The sequence below is a fragment of the Homo sapiens genome, chromosome 5 (genome assembly GCF_000001405.40).
Source record: "Homo sapiens chromosome 5, GRCh38.p14 Primary Assembly".
NCBI lineage: Eukaryota > Metazoa > Chordata > Mammalia > Primates > Hominidae > Homo > Homo sapiens.
The window spans coordinates 138754668-138779841 of NC_000005.10; the positions used below are offsets into that span (position 1 = coordinate 138754668).

Genomic DNA, 25174 nt, shown 5'->3' on the forward strand with positions numbered 1-25174 from the left:
TTAGGATGTGTTATTTTGTTTTACAGGAAGAATGAAGAATGAGTGTAGGAGTTACCTATAGTTTCTGCCTAATTATTTACCAATCTGGACTTTTGAACAAACATTTTTTTTAAAGACGGGGTCTCCGTCGCCCGGGCTGGAGCGCAGTGACACGATCATGACTCACTGCGGCTTCTGTCTCCTGGGCTCAAGTGATCCCCCCACCTCGGCTTCCGAAGTAGTTGGGACTACAGGCACGCGCCACCACATCCGTCTAATTTTTGTATTTTTGGTAGAGATGGTGTCTCGCTGTCTTGCCCAAGCTGGTCTCGAACTCCTGGGCTCAAGTGGTCCTCCTGCCTCAGCCTCCCAAAGTGTTGTGATTACAGGCCTGAGCCAGGGTGCCTGACCCCATCTGGATATTTATTCAGCGAAAGAATAATTTTTTAATCCACCTAAGAGCTCACAGTGTAATAGGGGAGACACACACCCCAGGTGTAGTACAGAGCGGACTGCAGTAAGTGCCTTAACAGTACTAATGAAACTATTGTCTGAGTCAAATCTTACCTAATAGTAACAACAAAAGAAACTTGTAGAGGCACGGAGAGGGGGCTAATAAGTTTTACTTGGGTAAGTCCAGAAAGGCTTTCAGGAGGTGGTGGCATTTGATCTGGATGAAACATGAGTCGAGTTTTTTTTAAGTGAAGGGAGAAAGTCATGAGAAGCATAAAAGGGCATAGGAGTTTGGGGAATTGTGATATCACTCTCCTGGTTTTCTTTTCCTTTTGACTCATCTCAGTTTCTTTCTTTTCCTCGCCCTCACTCTTTCCTCTCGTACCCAGGGTTCTTTCCAAAGTATCTTTGTCCTCCACACCACTGATGTGGCATCACCTTCACTCCCATCAGTGATATCTCATTTCATATAGTGACTTAGAGATGAGAGGTACCCTCCTCCAAGATGAGAATCACTGCTCTGTGCAGTCTCTTCTGTCATCAGCCTTATGTGCTAAAAGTCCAAGCCTTTGAGTGCAGGTGTGTCTCCTGACCCACATGGTCACCTGTGCATTGGGAAGCTTTTTGGGTGTCCCAGGCTTCTCAAACTCAAGGTGTCCAAAGTGGGACTCCTGTCTCTTCTGGAGACATGAACCAGATGTGGAGATCCAGGGTAACTGCCCTGCCCGGGTTTTGGGATTTCCTTCTTTTTTTTTTTTTTTTTTTTTTTTTTTTTTTTTTTGATGGAGTCTCCCTGTGTTGCCCAGGCTGGGGTTCAGTGAGGTGATCTCAGTTCACTGCAAACTCCACCTCCTGGGGATTCAAGCGATTCTCCTGTCTCAGCCTCCGGAGTAGCTGGGATTACTAAGTGCAAGCTACCACGCCCGGCTTATTTATTTATTTATTTATTTATTTATTTTGAGATAGTCTTGCTGTGTCTCCCAGGCTGGAGTGCAGTGGCATAATTGCGGCTCACTGCAACCCGTGCCTCCTGGGTTCAAGCAACTCTCCTGCCTCAACCTCAAGGAGCTGGGATTACAGGTGTGTGCCAACATGCCTGCCTAATTTTTTTGTATTTTTGATAGAGAGGGTTTCACCATGTTGGCCAGGCTGGTCTCAAACTCCTGACCTCGTGATCCACCTCGGCCTCCCAAAGTGCTGGGATTGCAGGCTTCAGCCACCGTGCCCAGCCTGATTTTTTAATTTTTAGCAGAGATGGGGTTTCATCATATTGGTGAGTCTGGTCTTTAACTCCTGACCTCAGGTGATCCACTCGCCTCAGCCTCCTAAAGTGCTGGGATTACAGGTGTGAGCCACCGCACTTTCGGATTTCTTTGAGAACGTAACTCACTGTGGGGCATAACAGACAGCCCTGATTGTTGGGGGTAGTGTTGTGTGCTGGTGAGAATATGGAGAGAAGGAACAGGGCCCTCTGCATTTGTAGAGGTCCTGAGACAGGAAAGACTCCGTGTGTTTAGAGACTTGAGAGAAGACTTGTATAGCTTGGGTACTTTTTCAGTGGGGAGAAGACCTCACATGAGATTGCCAGAGAAGGCAGAGGCCATGTTGGGGTTTTATTCTAGAGGTGTAAGAAGCCATTGTAGGGAGTTTCATGATTTGATTTCCTTTTTAAGACTCCTGCTAGTGCTTGGAGAAGGCTTGTGTTTGTGTGCATGTGGAAGCAGAGAGTTGAGCTAGGAAGATGGTGGAGTACGAGGTGGTAGGGATGAAGGGAGCTGTATTTTGGAGAAATGAGACAGGACTTAAATATGGATTGGGGCTGGACAGGGAGGCTCATGCCTATAATCCTGTTTTTTTGGGAGGCTGAGTTGGGAGGATCACTTGAAGCTAGGAGTTCAAGACCAGCCTGAGCAACTTTATGAGACCCCGCCTCTAAAAAAAAAAAAATCAACCAGGCATGGTGACACGCTCTGTAGTCCCAGCTACTCAGGAGGCTGAGGTGGTAGGATTCATTGCTTGAGCTTGGGAGGTGGAGGTTGCAGTGAGCTCTGATCATGTCACACTGCAGCCTGGGTGACAGAGTGAGACCCTGTCTCAAACAAAAGAAAAAAAGGGAGGAAGGGAGGGAGGAAGGAAGGAGAAAGAAAGAAAACAGAATGGTGGTTGTTAGGGGCCAGGTGAAGGGGAATAGGGAGCTATTGTTATGGGTACAGAGTTCGGTTTGGGAAGATGAAAAAAGTTCTGGAAATGGATCGTGAATATATGTAATGCCGCTGAGGCATACAGTATTTAAAAACAGTTCAAGGCTGCTGTGAACTATGATCATGCCCCTGCACTCCAGCCTGGGCAACACAGTGAGACCCTGACTCAGAAAAAAAGAAAATGGACTGGATGTTGGGGGCCTAGGGTAAAGTTGCTTCCTCAGTGATTCCCTTCTACTCTCCCAACATAACCTTTCATGATGAGCTTTTAGTCATATCTTAAGACTCAGCACTTTCGTTTCTGGTAGCAAATTTTTTAGCACTGGGTGGTGCATTACATTATGCTGTACGTTATTATTGATGTACCTGTTTGCCTTTACTGCTAGGAAGGGAGCCTTGTAAGCTCCTTGAAGGCAGGAACTGAGAGTCTTAGTTCTTGTCTTGGTGCTTAGTACCTGGCATGGAGGGCAAATTAGATGCTTGTTGAGTGAAGGAGGAAAAAGTCTTTTCTGCCTGGAGTCTAGCTTGTGGATGGAATGATAACAGATGAGGCAACAGTCAGATTATGGAGGGCCTCCAATAACAAATTTGGGCAAACTGAGAACCATCTACAGCCCATTCTTCTTCCTTGCCACCCAGATCTAATCACTGATGAAATCCTCTCCATGCAGTCCTCAGCTTATGTGTAATATATTCTTTTTTTCTCCTATTTCTTTTTTTTTTGAGATGGAGTTTTGCTCTTGTTGCCCAGGCTGGAGTGCAATGGCGTGATGTCGGCTCACTGCAACCTCTGTCTCCTGGGTTCAAGTGATTCTTCTGCCTCAGCCTCCCAAGTAGCTGGGATTACAGGCATGTGCCACCACACCTGGCTAATCTGGTATTTTAATTTTATTTATTTTATTTATTTTTATTTTTTTTTGAGATGGAGTCTTGCTCTGTCACCCAGGCTGGAGTGCAGTGGTGCGATCTTGGCTCCCTGCAACCTCCGCCTCCCGGGTTCATGCCGTTCTCCTGCCTCAGCCTCCCTAGTAGCTGGGACTGCAGGCGCCTGCCACCACACCCGGCTAACTTTTTTTGTTTGTTTGTTGTTGTTGTTGAGACGGAGTCTCGCTCTGTCACCAGGCTGGAGTGCAGTGGCACGATCTTGGCTCACTGCAACCTCTGCCTCCCGTGTTCAAGTGATTCTCCTGCCTCAGCCTCGCAAATAGCTGGACTACAGGCACATGCCACCACGCCCAGCTAATTTTTGTATTTTTAGTAGAGATGGCATTTCACCATGTTGGCCAGGATAGTCTTGATCTCTTGACCTCGTGATCTGCCCACCTCGGCCTCCCAAGGTGCTGGGATTACAGGTGTGAGCCACCACACCCGGCTGATATTTTTATTTTTAAAATACATTATTTTCTTGATTTTTCCCATACCTTCCTTTAGTTTTTTGAACATCTGTAAGACAGTTGTTTTAATGTCTTTGTCTAGTAGGTCTTCCATCTGGTCTTTCTCTGGGACAGTTTTTGTTTTTTTTTTGAGATGGAGTTTTGCTCTCGTTGCCCGGACTGGAGTGCAATGGCGTGATCTTGGCTCACTGCACTGCCTCCTGGCTTTAAGCGATTCTCCTGCCTCAGCCTCTTGAGTAGCTGGGATTACAGGCATGCGCCACCACACCTGGCTAATTTTGTATTTTAAGTAGAGACAGGGATTCTCCATGTTGGTCAGGCTGGTCTTGAACTCCTGACCTCAGGTGATCAGCCAGCCTTGGCTTCCCAAAGTACTGGGATTACAGGCATGAGCCACCGTGCCCAGCAACTGGGACAGTTTTTATTGGTTAATTTTTTTTTTCTTTTAATGGGTCATACTTTCCTGTATCTTTGTATGACCTGGGACTTTTTAATTTTTTTTTGAAAACTGGACATTTGAATCTAATGATGTGCTAACTCTGAAAATTGGACTCTTCTCATTCCCAGGGTTTGCTGGATTTTTTTGTTTATTTGTTACAGTTTGTTTTTATGCTGAGGATCAGCCTGAGATACAAACTTAAGGACTTCTCAGGTCTTTTTTGAGCCTGCACCTTTCCCTGGGCGCATGCACCATGGTAACTTTTTTCCTTATCTCCCCCGCACCCTCATGATTGCTTTTGAATATCCTAGTCTTTAAAGTCTAGCTCCTAAAGAGGAAAAAGAGAAAAATGAAGGAAGTAGGGAGGTGGGGGCCCTTGGCCCATTAAATTTCCTGGAAGTCTACTTCAGCTGGAGGGGGAGGACTTGCAGTCATGGAGGGGGTGCAATAATGGCTATCCTTCTCAGTGTCTGCCTATCCCTGATTATAAGCAGCAATCAGCAATTAGAATACGGATCCCTAATATTTGGAGGACAGGGTCCTTATTACCCATCCTGGTTCCCAAAAGCTGCTTGCAAGCTGTTTCAGGAATGCATTGTAGGTTGTCTGCCCGTGGCTGGGGGCTAGGGAATGGGGTAGCTGCTGCTCAGCTAAGGGCTGAAATTGACTGAAATTAACCCAATTTACTGTCCCAGTCTTTCCTTGGAAGTTGCAAGCTTTCTTCAACAGTCCCCAGAATTACATCTGACTAATTATGCCAGTGTAATTGTCTAGGTGGGGAGACTGATCTTGGTGCTTCCTACTCTGCTGTTTTAGAATCTGGAATCCTCTCCCAGAATTTCTTTCCTTTTTTTTTTTTTTTTTTTTTTTTTTTTTATGAGATGGAGTTTCACTCTTGTCGCCCAGGCTGGAGTGCAATGGCGCGATCTTGGCTCACCACAACCTCCGCCTCCCGGGTTCAAGCGATTCTCCTGCCTCAGCCTCCTGAGTAGCTGGGATACAGGCATGCGCCACCATGCCTGGCTAATTTTGTTATTTTTAGTAGAGACGGGGTTTCTCCATGTTGGTCAGGCTGGTCTTGAACTCCTGACCTCAGGTGATCCACCCGCCTCGGCCTACCAAAGTGCTGGGATTGCAGGAGTGAGCCACCGTGCTCAGCCGGATTTCTTTCCTTTTAAAGGCTGAATAATGTTCCATTTATTGTATGTATATGCCATATTTTGTTTATCCATTCATACTTTTTTTTTTGGAGGGGACAGAGTCTCTGTTGTCCAGGCTGGAGTGCAGTGGTGCGATCTTGGCTCACCACAACCTCTGCCTCCCAAGCTCAAAACGATTCTCCTGCCTCAGCCTCCTGAGTAGCTGGGATTACAGGTGTGCGCCACTACCACCCGGCTAATTTCTTTATTTTTAGTAGAAACGGGGTTTCACCATATTGGCCAGGCTGGTCTCTAACTCCTGACCTCAAATGATTCACCTGCCTCAGCCTCGAAAACTGCTGGGATTACAGGCGTGAGCCACCACGTCTGACCTATCCATTCATATGTTGATGGACGTTTGGATTATTTCCAAGGTATGCTACTTTTTTATAGCTCTTAAAATTTTTCCAAATTCCTCTCCAGAAATGTACTTTATCATCACCTGTGGTACATCAGGGTATTTTCCACTTTAGACATTCTTGATCTATTGTCTGAGTACTTGAAGTGGTGTGACTGTAGGCTGACTGTTGAATGAAGCTGAAAGGGGGGTTTTAATAGCAGGTCACAAACTTGGATAGAAGAGGAGATGTCTCTCGGGCTGGTTGGATATATAATAAGTTCTGGAAGGCCACATGCTGGTGATGATGTCATCCAGAAAGGGTTTGGTACTGAATTTCTGTTCAGGAACGTTCCTTGTCAGGGATGTTAGGGATCTGCCTTGTCAACTGTAGTCCTTCGTCAGCCTCTTCAGAAGTTGATGCCCACTTAGCTCTTGAAGCAGGTGTTCTAAGTAAATAATATTTTGTACTCTTATATTCTGTGGATTAGTTGTAGGTACATGCTGTTGTGAAAATAAATTCATTTGACTTCTCTGTATCTTGATTGTGGAGGTGATCACACAACTGTTATTTATTTTTTTTGAGACAGAGTCTCACCCTGTCGCCCAGTCTGGAGTGCAGTGGCATGATCTCGGCTCACTGCAACCTCCACTTCCTGAGTTCAAATGATTCTCCTGCCTCAGCTTCCTGAGTAGCTGGGATTTGCAAGCATGTGTCACCACGACCTGTTTAATTTTTGTACTTTTAGTAGAGACGGGGTTTCACCATTTTGGCCAGGCTGGTTTTGAACTCCTGACCTCAAATGATCCGTCCGCCTCCTAAAGTGCTGGGATTGCGGGCTTTAGCCACTCACCTGGCCCACACAGCTGTTTTTAGATTGGTATACGAGAGAGTGAATTTTATTGTGCATAAAAGGTGGAAAAATGAACAGGTAAAAAAATTTACTCAAAAAAATTTTGGGGGTGAGTTTGGCCTTCTATATGGAGATAATAAATAAGTAGTGAAAAACATGAACCCAATTATTCTTTCTACCTTCTCTGCCCAAATCATTTTTTTCTCAAGTGACCAAAACCACACACTTTGAGGTCTTTTTGTTGTTGTTGATACAGGGTCTCACTCAGTCATCCAGGCTGGAGTGCAGTGGTGCAATCACACCTCACTGCAGCCTTGACCTCCCGGGTTGAAAGTGATCCCCTCACCGCAGCCTCCTATGGAGCTGGGACTACAGGCGCCTGCCACAATGCCTGGCTAATTTTTGTGTTTTCTGTAGAGACAGAGTTTCACCGTGTTTCCCAGGCTGGTCTCAAACTCCTGAGCTCAAGTGATCCACCTGCCTTGGCCTCCCAAAGAGCTGAGATTACAGGCGTGACCCACTGCGCCTGGCCCACTTTGAAGTCCTAAAGAAATTTAGGTTATTATTCTATGCATGTTGGAGGATTTAAGTCTTATTAGCAGCTTCTGTTTTCTGTAAGGAAAAAGTTAAAACACATCTGGAAGAGTCTCATAGAGCAGCACTTTCTGAAACTTGCCTGGGTACCAGTATGCCTGCTTCCAGACCTTGAAGATATTACATGTACTGCTTGGTGATCTGCCCTGTCCCCCACATGTTGTGGGCCTGGATTGAATGGACTGAACAGTGTGGGGAATTAGTCCAGCGTGACTTGCCTTGTCTCATGCTGTTTGCTCACTTGTGAGAGCACTATACTGAATTATCCATTATTGAAAGTTCCAAGTGTGCAAAGAACCACACTTCAAAAATAAAATGTCAACATTGCCCTTTCTCTGTTAGAGCCTTAAATGTTCATTATTTTCTTTAGTTTTTTTTTATAACTATCAAACTTATTTTTCTCCATGTGGAAGTATGCCACAACTCCATTTCTAATGGAGCTTGAAATTAGCATGTATTTCCACTTACTTGTTGATGGGCTGTCATCGATCAACCCCTCTTTTTGATTGGGATTTAATTTGTGGTTTTTTTTTTTTACCAGCTGTAAGTTTGGAGTAATGCATGTAATGTAAATACAGTTCACAGGGCAACTTCGGATGTTCTAAATACTTGTAACATTTGCTCATTTTGAACAATATTGTATGAGTAGTGTGAAGTGATTTTTAAAATGTCTGTCATTTTTTTCATGTTCCCATTTTATTAAAAGGAGGGATGGAACTATATTGTGGAAGCTAATGTAATTTTTGTCTCTAAGAGGTTTTTTTTTCTTTTTAGACTAAAAGGGCTTAACAGAAGAAAAATTTATCTTTCTTAATTGCTAATTTAAAGGCTAATTTTTTCCCTAGATTGCTTAGTTTTGACTATTTGATTCCATCATATCAAGCTGTGAATTTCCTTCATTTTCTTGTTTTGAGGTTTCATTATTAAATATTGTCAAAAATAAGTGGCTCATCAACTCTCTTGAAAGTGTCTTATTGCTATGTTTTTTTTTGTCAGTATTTGACATTCTGAATTGAAGATGTGAGTTGGAAACCTGGTTAATTACCAAGTTACATAATCCTGTATTTATTAACTAGGTTAGACTACATACAGACTGTTCTTGAAAATGAAAGTGCTGTTATAACTCAGAAAACACATTCACTATGGCCCATTTCAAGTTAATTGAAGGATTGAGCCTTTGATAGTGCATTTGCCCTGTGCGGCTCTGTTACATGCATTCTTTCTAGGCAAAGATGCATTGTTACCATTCTCTCATGGTATGTTGAATATTTCATTAGATTCAATATTTCAATATTAATCCAAGCTTTTTTTTTGAGACAGGGTCAAGCCATCCTCCCACCTCAGCCTTCTGAATAGCTGGGACCATAGGTGTGTACTACGACACCCAGCTAATTTTTTACATTTTTAGTAGAGACAGGTCTCACCATATTGCTTAGGCTGATCTTTGAACTCCTGAACTCAAGCGATCTGCCCACCTTGGCCTCCAAAGTGCTAGGATTACAGGCATGTGCCACTGTGCCTGGCCTGAGTTTACAATCCAAATTCTAAATCATGGTTTGTGAAATATGATGGTGCAGTGAATAAGCTAGAGGCTAAAAGGGAGAAGCATGTTACTATTACTGATGAAACAGTGTTTGTGGGTTTTATATTCCTGGGGATCTCTAAATTGGCAAAAGGTTTCATGAGGGATTCATTTGTTGTCATTCTCTTGCGTCTGTGGACCTGGGTTATCATATTTTTAGAAAAGCTTTGGACTGACTTTTAAGTGTGTCTTTAGAAACCTGCCATTTAGGCTGGGTGCGGTGGCTCACGCCTTTAATCCCAGCACTTTGGGAGGCGGGCAGATCACCTGAGGTCAGGAGTTCAAGACTAGCCTGACTAACATGGAGAAACACCGTCTCTACTAAAAATACAAAAAATTGCAGGGCGCGGTGTCTCACACTTGTAATCCCAGCTACTCCTGAGTCTGAGGCAGGAGAATTGCTTGAACCCGGGAGGTGGAGGTTGCAGTGAGCTGAGATTGTGCCATTGCACTCCAGCGTGGGTGACAGAGCGAGAATCTGTCTCAAAAAAACAAAAAACAAAAAACAAAAAAATAATTAGCCGGGCATGGTGGCACATGCCTGTAATCCCAGTTACTCGGGAGGCTGAGGCAGAAGAATCCCTTGAACCTGGAAGGCGGAGGTTGCAGTGAGCTGAGATCGTGCCATTGCACTCCAGCCTGGGCAACAAGAGTGAAACTCTGTCTCAACAAAAAAAAGAAACCTTCCATTTTGCAGAGAGGTAACTAAGTGAAATGTGAGTTTGATCCCTTGGGAGGGAAAAAAAAGTGGAAATGGAAGATGGCAACTTTTTTCTTTTTTTTTAATTTGAGACGGAGTTTTGCTTTTGTTGCCCAGGCTGGAGTGCAGTGGCATGATCTCAGTTGACCGCAACCTCTGCCTCCTGGGTTGAAGCGATTCTCCTGCCTTAGCCTCCCGAGTAGCTGGGATTACAGGCATGCACCACCACGCCTGGCTGATTTTGTATTTTTATTAGAGACGGGGTTTCTCCATGTTGGTCAGGCTGGTCTCGAACTCCTGACCTCAGGTGATCCGCCCACCTCAGCCTCCCAAAGTGCTGGGATTATAGGTGTGTGCCACTGTACCTGGCCAGATGACATTTATTTCGGGTCTTTAAGACCAGTGAAAGATGTGATGTTTTCTAGTTGCTTTGAGTTAGTCTAAAGCAGTAATTTGCTGTATCTCTCTCTTTTTTTTTTTTTTTTTTTTTTGAGATCTCGCCCTGTCGCCCATGCTGGAGTGGGAGTGCAGTGATGCGATCTCTCTTCACTGCAGCCTCTGGCTCCAGGATTCTAGCGATTCTTCTGCCTCAGCCTTCCGAGTATCTGGGATTACAGGTGCCTGCCACCATGCCCAGCTTGTTTTCTTTTTGTTTTTTTGAGACGGAGTCTTGCTCTGTCCCCCAGATTGGAGTGCAATGGCATGATCTCGGCTCACTGCAACCTCCGCCTCCCAGGTTCAAGTGATTCTCCTGCCTCAGCCTCCCAAATAGCTGGGATTACAGGCACCCACCACCACGCCCAGCTAATTTTCATATTTTTAGTAGAGATGGGGTTTCACCAGGTTGGCCAGGCTGGTCTCAAACTCCTGACCTCAGGTGATCCGCCCGCCTCGGCCTCCCAGAGTGCTAGGATTACAGGCGTGAGCCACCGCGCCCGGCCCCAGCTAATTTTCTTATTTTTAGTAGAGACGAGGTTTCACCATGTTGGCCAGGCTGGTCTTGAACTCCTGACCTCAAGTGATCCACCAGCCTCTTCCTCCCAATGTGCTGGGATTATAGGTGAGAGCCACTGTGCCTGGCCATTTTGCTGTATCTCAATTGCATCAGGAAAGGCTCACTTAAATACAGTTCATTTATTAAGTCTGCCTTGCAAAGCAGTGTGCTGTGTGCTGGAGGGATGTTAATGTGTAAGCCACCATTGCTAACCCCAGGAAATTTATGAACTCAGGAGATCAGGTTTGGTAAAATAGCTGATAGGTAAGAATTGGCGCTGGGCGAGGTGGCTCATGCCTGTAATCCCAGCACTTTGGGAGGCCGAGGCAGGTGGATCACGAGGTCAAGAGATCGAGACCATACTGGCCAACATGGTGAAACCCCATCTCTACTAAAAATATAAAAATTAGCTGGGCATGGTGGTGCATGCCTGTAGTCCCAGCTACTTGGGAGGCTGAGGCAGGAGAATCATTTGAACCTGGGAGGCAGAGGTTGCAGTGAGCCAAGATCGCGCCACTGCACTCCAGCCTGGCGATAGAGTGAGACTCTGTCTCAAAAAAAAAAAAAAAAAAAAAAAAGGCAGTTTATACCCACTTTTTGCTAATCTGTCATGAGAGATGTTTCTTATTTCTTTGTGCATAGAGCAGTTGAGCTAATTCAGTTAAACATGTATAGAGTGTTAGATTAGATGAAAGTTACCATGATCAAAAAACTCGAAAGAGCTCTCAGTTTCATGGGAGACACACATACACACACACAGATAATAGTGCTATGTGACAAGTGCTGGGGGAACATGGTATGTTGTGTCTCTTTGTGAGGCAGAGATGACAGATGTCTGAGTCTTGAAGGAAAATTGTAGCTTTCCAGTTTGAGAAGACTTGAAGGGTGCTCTGGGCAGAGGAACAGTCTTGTGTATAGATCTGGAGGCATGCAGGTGCATTGGGGAATATTTTCTTGGAGTGGAGACAGGTGATAAGGCTGACAGGCTAGAGTAGGCGAGGCTTGTAGGAGTTTTTGGCTTCATCCTGTATGTGGTGGGGAAGCAATACCATGTTTTGTTTTTTTTTTTTTTTCAGAGGGAGTGACCCAATGATAATGATAACTGGGGCTCCCTGGAGAATGATTGGAAATTAGAAGACACCTTGATATTCTCAACCAGAGATAACAGAGCCCTGAGAGCAGGAAGGGGGTTAGTAGGGTGAGTGAGGTGTTTACTGAGGTACGGAGGAGAAAGAAAATGAGGCTAGAGTCTCATTCTAGGGACCTGGATTGGTGGAACTTTGGTCAGCGGAGAAGGGGAAGGCCACAGGGGGAATGCAGTGGAGTATAGAGGGGATGCTTGGTTTGGGGCTCATGGAGTTTGAGGAACTCAGCTTTGCAGTTAAGTGCAGGGAGAAGCCCTATACTTGTGAAAATGCAGCTCTGGTGAAGGCATGTCTCGTCACTTCCCACCTTCACTGTGGTAACGGGAAGAGGTGGGGTTTGCTCCTTTACCTTTGTTTTTTAGGGGGCAGAGGGAAGGGGTTGTTTCAGTGTTGCTCAAGTAGTTGTTATGAACAGTAAGAATACAGTGGGTCCAAATATTTTTAAGATAGGAAGAATAAAGCTGAACCCTCCAATGTCTTCTGAATTTCATAACTTTTCTTTCTTTCTTTTTTTTGAGACAAGAGTCTCGCTCTGTCGTCCAGGCTGGAGTGCAGTGGCGTGATCTTGGCTCACTGCAAGCTCCTCCTCCCGGGTTCACGCCATTCTCCTGCTCAGCCTCCCGAGTAGCTAGGACTACAGGCGCCCGCCATCACGCCTGGCTAATTTTTTGTATTTTTTAGTAGAGACAGGGTTTCACTGTGTTAGCCAGGATGGTCTCGATCTCCTGACCTTGTGATCTGCCCACCTTGGACTCCCAAAGTGCTGGGATTACAGGCATGAGCCACCGCGCCAGGCTGAATTTCTTAGCTTTTCTTTCAGCTTATTATCTGCCACTTCACTGTGCATCCTCTATTTTTCACTCACTGTGGTTGCCGGAAGGTGCTGGTGTTCTTTGGCGCCATTGTCCTTCACAACCTGAAACAGCCTCCCTGCCCTCAAACAGTACGTCAGATACTCAGTGAGTCCTTCCTGACTATTTGGGGACCGTCTTTTGGGTGCCCCTGGAGCACTTAGAACATTATACCTTCTATCGTATTATAACTCTTTTCCTGTATAGACTGTTGTAAGCATTTTCCCCCTACTTTTTTTGGGGAAGATCTTCAAACCTACAGAAAAGTTGAAGTACAGTGAGTGCTTGATTTACCAGCTGACCATTGTTAACATTTTTCAAATTTTCTCAATTACTCGATAGAAACTATTTCAGAGTCATTTGAAAGTAAACTGCAGACCTCATGGGACTTCACTCTTTAGCATGTTATTCTGAAGAATAACATAACAGGCCCTGCATAACCCTGACACTACTGTCACACTCAAGACCTTTTACATTGATACAGTAACATGTAATACCTTTTAAAGAGCAGTCTGAGGGTTAGCATTGGCTCTCCCTGGGAGCTCTTGAGAAATGCAGAATCTTAGGCCTTACCCTAGATATATTGAATCAGAATCTGTGTTTTAACAAGATCCGCAGAAGTACTGATTTTTTTGTGCAGTCCATATTCAGATTCAGATTCTCACAGTTGTTCTAGTGATACCCTTTATGGTTTTTCTTTCTCTTTTTAAAAATCAGGAATCAATAAAAGATCACATATTGCATTCGATTGTCGTATGTCTTTAGCCTTCACTTCCAGCTTTCCCACTTGGGACAGTGGCATTTTTGTATAGTTTAGGCCAGTTTTGTAGATGTTCTCCATTTTGGATTTGTCAAATAGGTGTGATGATGTTTTTTTGTTGGGTTTTTGAGATCGAGTCTCGCTCTGTCACCCAGGCTAGAGTGCAGTGGTGCGATCTCGGCTCACCTCGACCTCTGCCTCCCAGGTTCAAGTGATTCTCATGCCTCAGCTTCCCAAGTACTGGGACTACAGGTGCACACCACCACACCCAGCTAAGCTTTTTTTTTTTAAAGTAGAGATAGGGTTTCACCATGTTGGCCAGGGTGGCCTCAAATTCCTAACCTCAAGCAATCCACCCACCTTGTCCTCCCAAAGTGCTGGGATTACAGGCATGAGACAACGGTGTCTGTTTTTTTTTTTTTTTTTTTTTTTTGAGATGGAGTCTTGCTGTGTTGCTTAGGCTGGAGTGCAGTGGCTGTTTGCAGGCACAATCACGGCATGCTAAACTCCTGAACTCCTGGGTACAGGTGGTCCTTCTGCCTGAGCCTTCCCAGTAGCTGGGACTATTGGTGTAAGTCACTGTGCCTGGCTTGATGATGTTTCTTTCTTAGGGCATTCAGTGGGTCAGGTTGTTCCACTGGTGATGATGCTAAGTTTAAACACTTGGTTAAGTAGCATCTTCCAGATTTCTGTGTTACAAAGACAGAATGGTCTTTTGGTCTTAATAATTAATTGCTACAGTGATCTGCTAGCAATTTCCAATTCATCTAGCATCTAGCAGGATCTGACATCTAGCAGGATCCCAGAACTGATAATTCGTCAGTCATTGATGAATGAATGACTGAATAGGTCATCCAGGATATATACCACAAGTTTTAGAGGCCATTCTTTCTTGTTTTCTTTCTTTTTTTTGTTTTGATTTTTGTAGAGATGAGGTCTTCCTATGTTGCCCAGGCTGGTCTGGAACTCTTGGGCTCAAGTGATCCTCCCGCCTTGGCCTCCAAAGTTCTGGGATTACAGGTGTGAGCCACTGAGCCTGGCTCCTTCTTGTTTTCCTGCTCAGTCTGGGTAACTTCTCAGACTCTAGTCAAGTCCAGGCATCTTTTTGCCTGGCTTTCCAACAAAAATACCTCACTCTTCTCCCTGTGGGCTTCTTAGCTGTGTGAAAGGTTTCTCCTCCCTTAGTCCCACTGTGTTTTTAAATTTTTATTTTTATTTATTATTTTTGGGTTATTATTATTATTATTATTATTTTTTGAGATGGAGTCTCACTGTGTCGCCTAGGCTAGAGTGCAGTGGCATGATCTCGGCTCACTGCAACCTCCGCCTCCTGGATTCAAGTGATTCTCCTGCCTCAGCCTCCCGATATTTTTATTTTATTATTTTATTTTATTTTTTTTGAGACGGAGTTTCGCTCTTGTTGCCCAGGCCGGAGTGCAATGGTGCGATCTTGGCTCACCGCAGCCTCCGCCTTCTGGGTTCAAGCGATTCTCCTGCCTCAGCCTCCCGAGTTGCTGCGATTACAGGCCCTGCGCCACCACGCCCAGCTAATTTTGTATTTTTAGTGGAGACAGGGTTTCTCCCTGTTGATCAGGCTGGTCTCGAACTCCCGACCTCAGGTGATCCGCCCGCCTCGGCCTCCCAAAGTGCTGGGATTACAGGTGTGAGCTACTGCACCCAGCCGCTTATTTTATTTATTATTTATTTATTTATTGAGACGGAGTTTCGGTCTTGTCGTCCAGGCTGGAGTGCAATGGCGTGATCTCGGCTCATTGCAACCTCTGCTTCTTGGGTTCAAGCGATTCTCCTGCCTCAGCCTCCCAAGTAGCTGGGATTACAGGCGCCTGGCTGATTTTTCTAATTTTTAGTAGAGAGGGGGTTTCACCATGTTGGCCAGGCTAGTCACGAACTCTGATCTCAAGTGATCCGCCTGCCTTGGCTTCCCAAAGTGCTGGGATTACAGGTGTGAGCCATCGTGCCCGGTGATACTTTTATTTTTTAAAAAATGATTTTTGGTTCAAGGAAGTCAGTTCGGTCCAATTGTTCTAAAACAAAAATGTCTTCTGTATTTTCTTTTTTCTCTTGTGCCTCCAGTCCAGGTGCTTGTTTCACATTCTTTGCTTTTTAGACTAGTCATTCAGTCTCATGGAAACAGGGACTTCCTCTGTATCCATTATCAGTTGTTAGGAGGGCTTGATGCAGCTTTCTATTAAACACTCTTCCATTGTTAATGTTCTCAACTATAATACGATGGAAGCTGAGGAAATGAACATAGATATCCAGTCCATACAGCAAACTGTCACTTCACCCCAGGAGCTTGTTTTGTTTTCCTTCACTTGACCTCCTACTGCTTCTTGCCCTGTTCCAGCTACACTGGCCTTCTCTTTCTGTCAGTCCTTGAAGATACTGCCTCATCTGTGTTCCCTCTGCCTGGAATGCTCTCTTCCTCCAGATACTCACTTGATTAGTTCTTTCCTGACTATTAGATTTTCGCTCAGATGTTGTCAAGACAGAAAGACCTCGCCGGGCGCGGTGGCTCATGCCTTTAATCCCAGCACTTTGGGAGGCCGAGGCAGGCAGATCACGAGGTCAGGAGAGTGAGACCCTCCTGGCTAACATGGTGAAACCCCGTCTCTACTAAAAATACAAAAAATTAGCCGGGCTTGGTGGTGGGCGCCTGTAGTCCCAGCTACTTGGGAAGCTGAGGCAGGAGAATGGCGTGAACCCGGGAGGCAGGGCTTGCAGTGAGCCGAGATTGCGCCACTGCACCCAGCTTGGGCGACAGAGCGAGACTCCGTCTCAAAAAAAAAAAAAAACACAAAAACAAACGAACAAAAAACAGAAAGACCTCTAAGGACCCTACTTAATTCCATTGCCATTACACTGCTTAATTTTCTTCCTAGCTCTCATACTGTCTTCTTTGTTTAGTTATTTATGCCATTATTGCAATGAAGGCTTCATGAAGGCAGGGTTCTTTTTTTCTTGTTGACTGCTTTCTGGGATAGTGACTATACAAAGGAGGCACTCATATTTGTGAGTGAAGGCTAAATGGTTGGCTGAATTTTTTTTTTTTGTTTACTTTTTGTCCTTTGATGAGTGCCTTTTGTTGTAGTGTCTCCTGATGCTTGTAGCACAGCAGTTCCAACTGCTCCCATTGCCTTTGGTGCCCTCAAGAAAAATAAGAAAAGGAGCAAAATAAAAATGATTCAAGTGTTTTATTATTATTATTTATTTATTTTTTGTATATTTTTGAAACAGAATCTCCCCCATCACTCAGCCTGCAGTGTAGTGGCATGATCATGGCTCGCTGCAGCCTTGACCTCTTGGGTTCAAGTGATTCTCCCATCTCAGCCTCCTGAGACCACAGGTGTGCACCTCCATGCCCAGCTAATTTTTTTTTTCTTTTTAAAAGTTGTTTTTGTAGAGACGAGGCCTCTATGTTGCCCAGACTGGTCTTGAACTCCTGAGCTCAAGTGATCCTCCCACCTTGGCCTCCCAGAGTGCTGGGATAACAAGTCAGAGTGTGTCTTAATTATAAGTTACCTTGATTTTTTTGGCAGTTACCAGGAGATTTGAGAGTTGAGGTTCCAAAGGCTGTGTTAACTCTGCTTGATGCAGATGCAAGCTGGCATACCTGTGACAGCACTGAGTATTCCACAATCTTCTGTCTTGTGCAGTGTGACAGTTAACGTTGCTTCGGGTACTTTTAATTTCTAAATTTCCTGATTTGCATTTAAACGAACCATCCTAACATTTCATTAAGTTAACTTTGCTGTTAAAAAAAAAATTGGCATTGAGTAGCATGGTTAAGGTAGTCTAAATCTGCCACAATATAATAATGAAAATTCAGGAGCAGACACATTTTAAGCATGATTTGGCCATTCTTTTATAAGTGAATGCTGAACATCTTTGGAGAAGGTACGTAGTTCTTTGCACAAATGAGGCAGTTTGCCAGTTATCAGCCCCCTTGGTTCTGATAGAACTATGCTTTTATTTTCTCCTCATTGCTTCTCAATTTCTCTTTCTGTTGTAGATTGCTAGCTAAATGATTGCATCTCTGCCCCTTTCTGAATTTATAGCAAACTTTTGCTTTATAGCCAGGATTACCATTTATAAGGTAATGAAGACCAGATAAGTACAGTTTAACTGTTTATTTAGTTCCATTAAGCATGATCCCTCCTGGAAAAACCTAAGGTTGCTGTAATTCATTAAGGTTGGCTAGCTCTAGTAGGTTTTGTGATAGATCTTGCGAAGGAGTGCTCTGTAAGTTAATTGGAAAAGTAGAAACTGTCAAGAGTTTAAAAGTTATTTGTTTAGTTACTCTGAACAATACCATTAATTGTAGAGAACCAGAAGATACGACTAAGATTAAGGCAGGAGCTTTGTCTTGGGAGGCTTGTAAATATTTGCAAATTATGTTGCATAAATTCAGCTCAACTAATACTATCTGCCCTGCATAAAGCTCCCAGCCAGCAACTTACGGGATATAAAGAAACATAGGCATGGTTATCATCCTTACACTTAAAATATAGCTCTGAAGACCATATGCTAAACCTGAGAAAATTAAGTTTAATAAAACAATTCAATGGCTGTTGAGTGACAACATAAATGAAAAGAGCACCAGAATTTCAGGACTAGAGGGATTTGGAGTATAGAATTCAACTTCTTTCATTTTATAGATAGATGAAAAGAGCACCAGAATTTCAGGACTAGAAGGATTTGGAGTATAGAATTCAACTTCTTTCATTTTATAGATAGATGAAAAGAGCACCAGAATTTCAGGACTAGAAGGATTTGGAGTATAGAATTCAACTTCTTTCATTTTATAGATGATAAAACCAAGGATCCAGAAAGGTGAAGTGACTTAATCAAAAGTCAGAGGATAAGTGACAGTGCTGGTTCCAGAAGCTGATGTTTCAAGTAGAACATGTTCTCTTTAGATTTTAAGATACTTTTATTTTTTGAAATCCTTTTAGGATTGGGATCACTAAAAACATGCCTTGGCTCTGTAGCATCATTTCATGATGTTCAGCGTCATTCTTGGCAGGACCCTGCGCTCATGAAACTTACACTGTAATAATGGCATAAATAAGTAAACAAAGAAGACGATACGAGCTAAAATAAAATTAAGCAGGGTAATAAGTAATGGAATTAGTAGGATCTTTAGAGTGCCTTTCTGTCATGACGGCATTTGAGCTGAAATCTGAAAGTTAGGAAAGAACTGGTCTTCTGAGGGAAGAGAGCATTCCAGGCAGAGGGAACACAGATGAGGCAGTGTCTTCAGGGACTTACAGAAAGAGAAGGCCAGTGTGACTAGAACAGGGCAAGAAGTAAGTGATCAAGTGAAGGAAAAAACAAAAACAAGCTCCTTGGCACTTTTGATTAAAGGTGCTATACAGGGCAGTCTGCTTGCATTATGGTTATTGAAAGTCTTGAAAATACACTGAGTTCTCAATTTTCAAGTGTTAGTGTATTTTAAGTTTCTTAATGTAAGTGAGTGATTAGAGTCCTTTGCCTTAACTCGTTTAGAAGCAGGATTAGGGAGGCTGAGTCTGGTGAATTAATTTTTTTTTTTTTTTTAGACAGAGTCTCACTCTGTTGCCCAGGCTGGAGTACAGTGGCAAGATCATGGCTCATTGCAGCCTCCACCTTCTTTGGCTGAAGCGATCCTCCTGCCTCAGCCTCCTGAATAGCTGGACTATGGATGCACACCACTACACCTGGCTGATTGTTTTGTTTTTGTTTTGTTTCTGAGACAAAGTCTCACTCTGTCGCCCTGGCTGGAGTGCAGTGGCGTGATCTCATCTCACTGCAATCTCTGCCTCTTGGGTTCAAGCGATTCTCATGCCTCAGCCTCCCGAGTAGCTAGGATCACAGGCATGTGCCACCATGCCCGGCTAATTTTGTATTTTTAGTAGAGACAGGGTTTCACCATGTTGGCCAGGCTGGTCTTGAGATCCCGACCTCAGGTGATCTGCCCACCTCAGCCTACCAAAGTGCTGGGATTTCAGGCATGAGCTACTGCGCCTGGCCTGTTTTTTATTTTTAAATTATTTGTAGAGATGAGGTCTCGCTATGTTGCCCAGGCTGGTCTTGAACTCCAGGGCTCAAGTGATTTTCCCATCGTGGCCTCCCAAAGTGCTGGGATTACAGGTGGGAGCCACCACACCTGGCTTTTTTTCTAATATTAAATAATTTATTTTTGCACAGTAAGACTTCTTGGAAGTTGTCACTAACGTTAAAGTTGGGAGATTCCATGTAAAAATCTGCATCCCTGGCCTCTCTTGAAAAGTCAGATGGTCTGGAAACCCTGGATTTATGTGGTAAAGATTGCCTGGAGTTGATGAACAAGTGGGCACAAGCTTTCTGATTTTGAAGTCCTGGCTCCTCCTAGTGGTCCCTGTCCCCAGCCTGGAGAGGCCAGGTGTCATTTGCAATTCATTATTGTGCTGTTGTGCATATTGTGCTGTTGTGCCACCTTTTTTTTTTTGAGGCGGAGTCTCGCTCTGTCGCCCAGGCTGGAGTGCAGTGGCGCGATCTCGGCTCACTGCAAGCTCTGCCTCCCGGGTTCACGCCATTCTCCTGCCTCAGCCTCCTGAGTAGCTGGGACTACAGGCGCCCACCACCGCACCCAGCTAATTTTTTGTATTTTTAGTAGAGACGGGGTTTCACCGTGGTCTTGATCTCCTGACCTCGTGATCCGCCCACCTCGGCCTCCCAAAGTGCTGGGATTACAGGCATGAGCCACCGCGCCCGTCCTGTGCCACCTTTTTTAAGTTAAGAAGTAAGTGAAATTATTTGTACTCCAAAGTATCAAAATTAGGAAAACAAAAGACCAAGAATGTTTTTTGTTCAAGAAAAAAATGAAAGTCTTTTTTTGAGAAAGTGAAATAGTTATGTGTTGTACCTGTTTAATAATTAAACACAAATGTGACCACATATACCTAAATGTCTGCTTGCAGCTAGCTTCACTTAACTTTCCTCTTGGCTCTCTCCCTTTGCAACCCTGGAAGGTTCTGTGTTTTGTTTGTGTTAATGCAGTATCTCTGGAATGCTAGGATATGTAGGATCCATAGGGCAAATAGTTCTTCTGAAATGTCTTATCTGTGACATTTGATGACATTTGGTTGAGCTGTTGTCAAACCTTTAGCAATCTAGAGCATTCCATTTCCTAAGGTTCACTGACTTGGGTTGATCAGTTGAGTGGACAAATAACCTTTAAAAACCAAAGTGTAGGCCTGACGTCACATGAATGTAGACAGCAAATTCATCTACCTTCAATGAAACAGATGACTGGGACACAGGCATTCTGTGTTACCAGATTAGGCAAATGCAGGTTCCTTTTGGCACCCCTATCTCTAGTGATTCTAGATTTGATGACAGTATAATGACAGTATAATGATGAAAATTCAGAAATTTAACATTGATACAATGCTACTGTTTAATTCAGTACCCATAGTCAAATTTTGTCAATTGTCTCAATGTTTTTCCCTTTCTCAACACAATTTCAGTCCAGAATCACTGTGTTTAAGTCTCTTTAGCCTCCTTTAATCTGGAAATATTTCTTTTTTTTTTTTTTTTTTTTTTTTTGAGTCGGAGTCTTGCTCTGTCCGCCCAGGCTGGAGTGCAGTGGCGCGATCTCGGTTCACTGCAACCTCCGCCTCCCAGGTTCATGCCATTCTCTTGTTTTAGCCTTCTAAGTAGCTGGGACTACAGGCACCTGCCACCACACCTGGCTAATTTTTTTTTTGTATTTTTAGTAGAGACGGGGTTTCACCGTGTTAGGCAGGATGGTCTCGATCTCCTGACCTCATGATCCACCTGCCTTGGCCTTCCAAAGTGCTGGGATTACAGGTGTGAGCCACCATGCCCGGCCTCTGGAAATGTTTCTTTTTTTTTTTTTTTTTTTTTTTTATTGATCATTCTTGGGTGTTTCTCACAGAGGGGGATTTGGCAGGGTCACAGGACAACAGTGGAGGGAGGGTCAGCAGATAAACAAGTGAACAAAGGTCTCTGGTTTTCCTATGCAGAGGACCCTGCGGCCTTCCGCAGTGTTTGTGTCCCTGGGTACTTGAGATTAGGGAGTGGTGATGACTCTTAACGAGCATGCTGCCTTCAAGCATCTGTTCAACAAAGCACATCTTGCACCACCTCAATCCATTCAACCCTGAGTGGACACACCACATGTTTCAGAGAGCACAGGGTTGGGGGTAAGGTCACCGATCAACAGGATCACAAGGCAGAATAATTTTTCTTAGTACAGAACAAAATGAAAAGTCTCCCGTGTCTGCCTCTTTCTACACAGACACGGCAACCATCCGATTTATCAATCCTTTGCCCGCCTTTCCCCCCTTTTCTATTCCACAAAACCGCCATCGTCATCATGGCCCGTTCTCAATGAGCTGCTGGGCACACCTCCCAGACGGGGTGGTGGCCGAGCAGAGGGGTTCCTCACTTCCCAGTAGGAGCGGCCGGGCAGAGGCGCCCCTCACCTCCCGGACGGGGCGGCTGGCCGGGCGGGGGGCTGACCCCCCCACCTCCCTCCCGGACGGGGCGGCTGGCCGGGCAGAGGGGCTCCTCACTTCCCAGTAGGGGCGGCCGGGCAGAAGCGCCCCTCACCTCCCGGACGGGGCGGCTGGCCAGGCGGGGGGCTGACCCCCCCACCTCCCTCCCGGACGGGGCGGCTGGCCGGGCGGGGGGGCTGACTCCCCCACCTCCCTCCCGGGCGGGGCGGCTGGCCGGGCAGGGGGCTGACCCCCCCACCTCCCTCCCGGACGGGGCGGCTGGCCGGGCGGGGGGCTGACTCCCCCACCTCCCTCCCGGACGGGGCGGCTGGCCTGGCGGGGGCTGACCCCCCACCTCCCTCCCGGATGGGGTGGCTGCCGGGCAGAGACGCTCCTCACTTCCCAGACGGGGTGGCTGCCGGGCGGAGGGGCTCCTCACTTCTCATATGGGGCGGTTGCCAGGCGGAGGGTCTCCTCACTTCTCAGACGGGGCGGCTGGGCAGAGACGCTCCTCACCTCCCAGACGGGGTCGCGGCCGGGTAGAGGCGCTCCTCACATCCCAGACGGGGCGGCGGGGCAGAGGCGCTCCCCACATCTCAGACGATGGGCGGCCGGGCAGAGACGCTCCTCACTTCCTAGATGGGATGGCGGCCGGGAAGAGGCGCTCCTCACTTCCTAGATGGGATGGCGGCCGGGCAGAGACGCTCCTCACTTTCCAGACTGGGCAGCCAGGCAGAGGGGCTCCTCACGTCCCAGACGATGGGCGGCCAGGCAGAGACGCTCCTCACTTCCCAGACGGGGTGGCGGCCGGGCAGAGGCTGCAATCTCGGCACTTTGGGAGGCCAAGGCAGGCGGCTGGGAGGTGGAGGTTGTAGCGAGCCGAGATCACGCCACTGCACTCCAGCCTGGGCACCATTGAGCACTGAGTGAACCAGACTCCGTCTGCAATCCCGGCACCTCTGGAGGCCGAGGCTGGCGGATCACTCGCGGTTAGGAGCTGGAGACCAGCCCGGCTAACACAGTGAAACCCCGTCTCCACCAAAAAAATACAAAAACCAGTCAGGCATGGCGGTGCGCGCCTGCAATCACAGGCACTCGGCAGGCTGAGGCAGGAGAATCAGGCAGGGAGGCTGCAGCGAGCTGAGATGGCAGCAGTACAGTCCAGCTTCAGCTCGGCATCAGTGGGAGACCGTGGAAAGAGAGGGAGAGGGAGACCGTGGGGAGAGGGAGAGGGAGAGGAGGGAGAGGGAGAGGAGGGAGAGGGGGAGGAGGGAGAGGGGGAGGAGGGAGAGGGGGAGGAGGGAGAGGGGGAGGGGAAATGTTTCTTAATCTGTCTTTTTTTTTTTTTTTTTTTTTTTAAACAGAGTCTTGCTCTGTGGCCCAGGCAGGAGTGCAGTGGCACCATCTCCACTCACTGCAAGTTCTGCTCCCCCAGGTTCATGCCATTCTCCTGCCTCAGCCTCCCGAGTAGCTGGGACTACAGGCGACCGCCACCACGCCCGGCTAATTTTTTGGTATTTTTAGTAGAGACGGGGTTTCACAGTGTTGACCAGGATGGTTTCGATCTCCTGAACTCGTGATCCACCCGCCTTGGCCTCCCAAAGTGCTGGGATTACAGACGTGAGCCTCCGCGCCCGGCTGCTTTGACATTTTTCAAGACTACAGCCAGTTATTTTGTAGATCGTCTCACGCTTTGAATTTGATGTTGCCTCATGACTAGTTGAGGTTATGTAATTTTCAGGCGAAATAACACAGAGGTGATGTTGTATCCTTCTCAGTGCATCGTGTTAGGAGATACGTGATGTGGGTTTGTGTCCTTATTAGGGACAGTAATTTTGATTACTTGGTTAAGGTGGCATCTCAGGTTTCTGGACTGTGAAGTTACTATTTCCCCCATCTGTCATAAATAAATAATCTGTTGGGAGTTACTATGACACTAGATCACGCTACTGAGAAACTGAATGCTAATCTACTTGGTTAGCATTCTTTGATTCTTGCCTGAGGCAATTAATATTATGGTTCCTGAATGCTGATTTTTCTAAATACATTGTTCTTTCTACATTTATTAGTTTGTTTCCTATTGTTTGGAAGAACTTTTCCTTCTTTATTCATATTAGCATGGACTCATGCATTAGTCAATGGATCATACTTTGTTCTATCTAATCTCCACTAAAGCTCTCTGAAGAAGGCAGTGGTTGGTAGTCTTTTATGAGGGATCTAGTTCAAAGTTACGTTTTTTTTTTGAGATGGAATCTTGCTCTGTTGCCTAGGCTGGAGTGCAGTGGCATGATCTCGGCTCATTGCAACCTCTGCCTCCCAGGTTCCAGCGATTCTCCTGGCTCAGCCTCATGAGTAGCTGCGATCACAAGCAACCGCCACTACGCCTGGCTAATTTTTGTATTTTTAGTAGAGAGAGGGTTTCACCACATTGGCCAGGCTGGTCTCGAACTCCTGACCTCAGGTGATCCACCCACTTTGGCCTCCCTAAGTGCTGGAATTACAAGCATGAACCACCATGCCTGGCCAGTTTTCACCCAGTAGTTTTGACATTCATTGCTAATCCTTGGCTGGATCAGTTTTTACCAGTGGGGGTTGCAAGATGGTCATTTTCTAATTCTATTCTAGATTCATGGTAAAGAAATTCCCTCCCCATACCCTTTCTTTTGAGGATCCCTATGGTCTTAAGGATATTTATTTAATTATTTAGTTACAGACAGTTACAGTCATTATTCTCTTTGATAGTTGTCCTAAATTTGGCTGATGGGAGCCCTTGCTTCCTGTGTCTTTTGATATGATCTTGTTAGTCTTGTCCCCTTTCCGCACAATACAGTGCTTCAGACCTGGAACTTTGGTTTCTATTAATGGGAAATGGTCCGTTTTTTAAAAAAAAAATAAGTAGAAATGGGATCTCTCTGTGTGGCCCAGGCTGGTCTCAAACTCCTGGGCTTAAGTGATCCTCCTGCCTTGGCCTTCCAAAGTGCTGGTATCACAGGCATGAACCACCATGCAAATGGTATTTAATAGAAATAAATACTTGGGCACTGATAACACTGGTTTTTTTTTGTTTTTGTTTTTTTTTTGAGACAAGAGCTTGCTCTGTTGCCCAGGCTGGAGTGCAGTGGTGCGATCTTGGCTCACTGCAACCTCCACCTCCCAGGTTCAAGTGGTTTTCCTGCCTCAGCCTCCTG

The 25174-nt window shown here is 45.6% G+C and overlaps 1 protein-coding gene across 9 annotated transcripts in view; it reads left to right on the forward strand.

Moving 5' to 3' along the window:
• The window catches only part of CTNNA1 (catenin alpha 1), a 181610-nt gene that overhangs the window by 1243 nt on the left and 155193 nt on the right, over positions 1-25174 (forward strand). Inside the window, exon 2 of one of the 9 annotated variants that reach the window (NM_001323982.2) lies at positions 27-496. The exons of 7 other annotated variants lie outside the window; for them this stretch is intronic. The gene's annotated coding sequence lies outside the window, so the exon portion shown is untranslated. The remainder of the gene's footprint in view (positions 1-26; positions 497-25174) is intronic. One more of the 9 variants, NM_001323984.2, reaches the window with a different exon arrangement.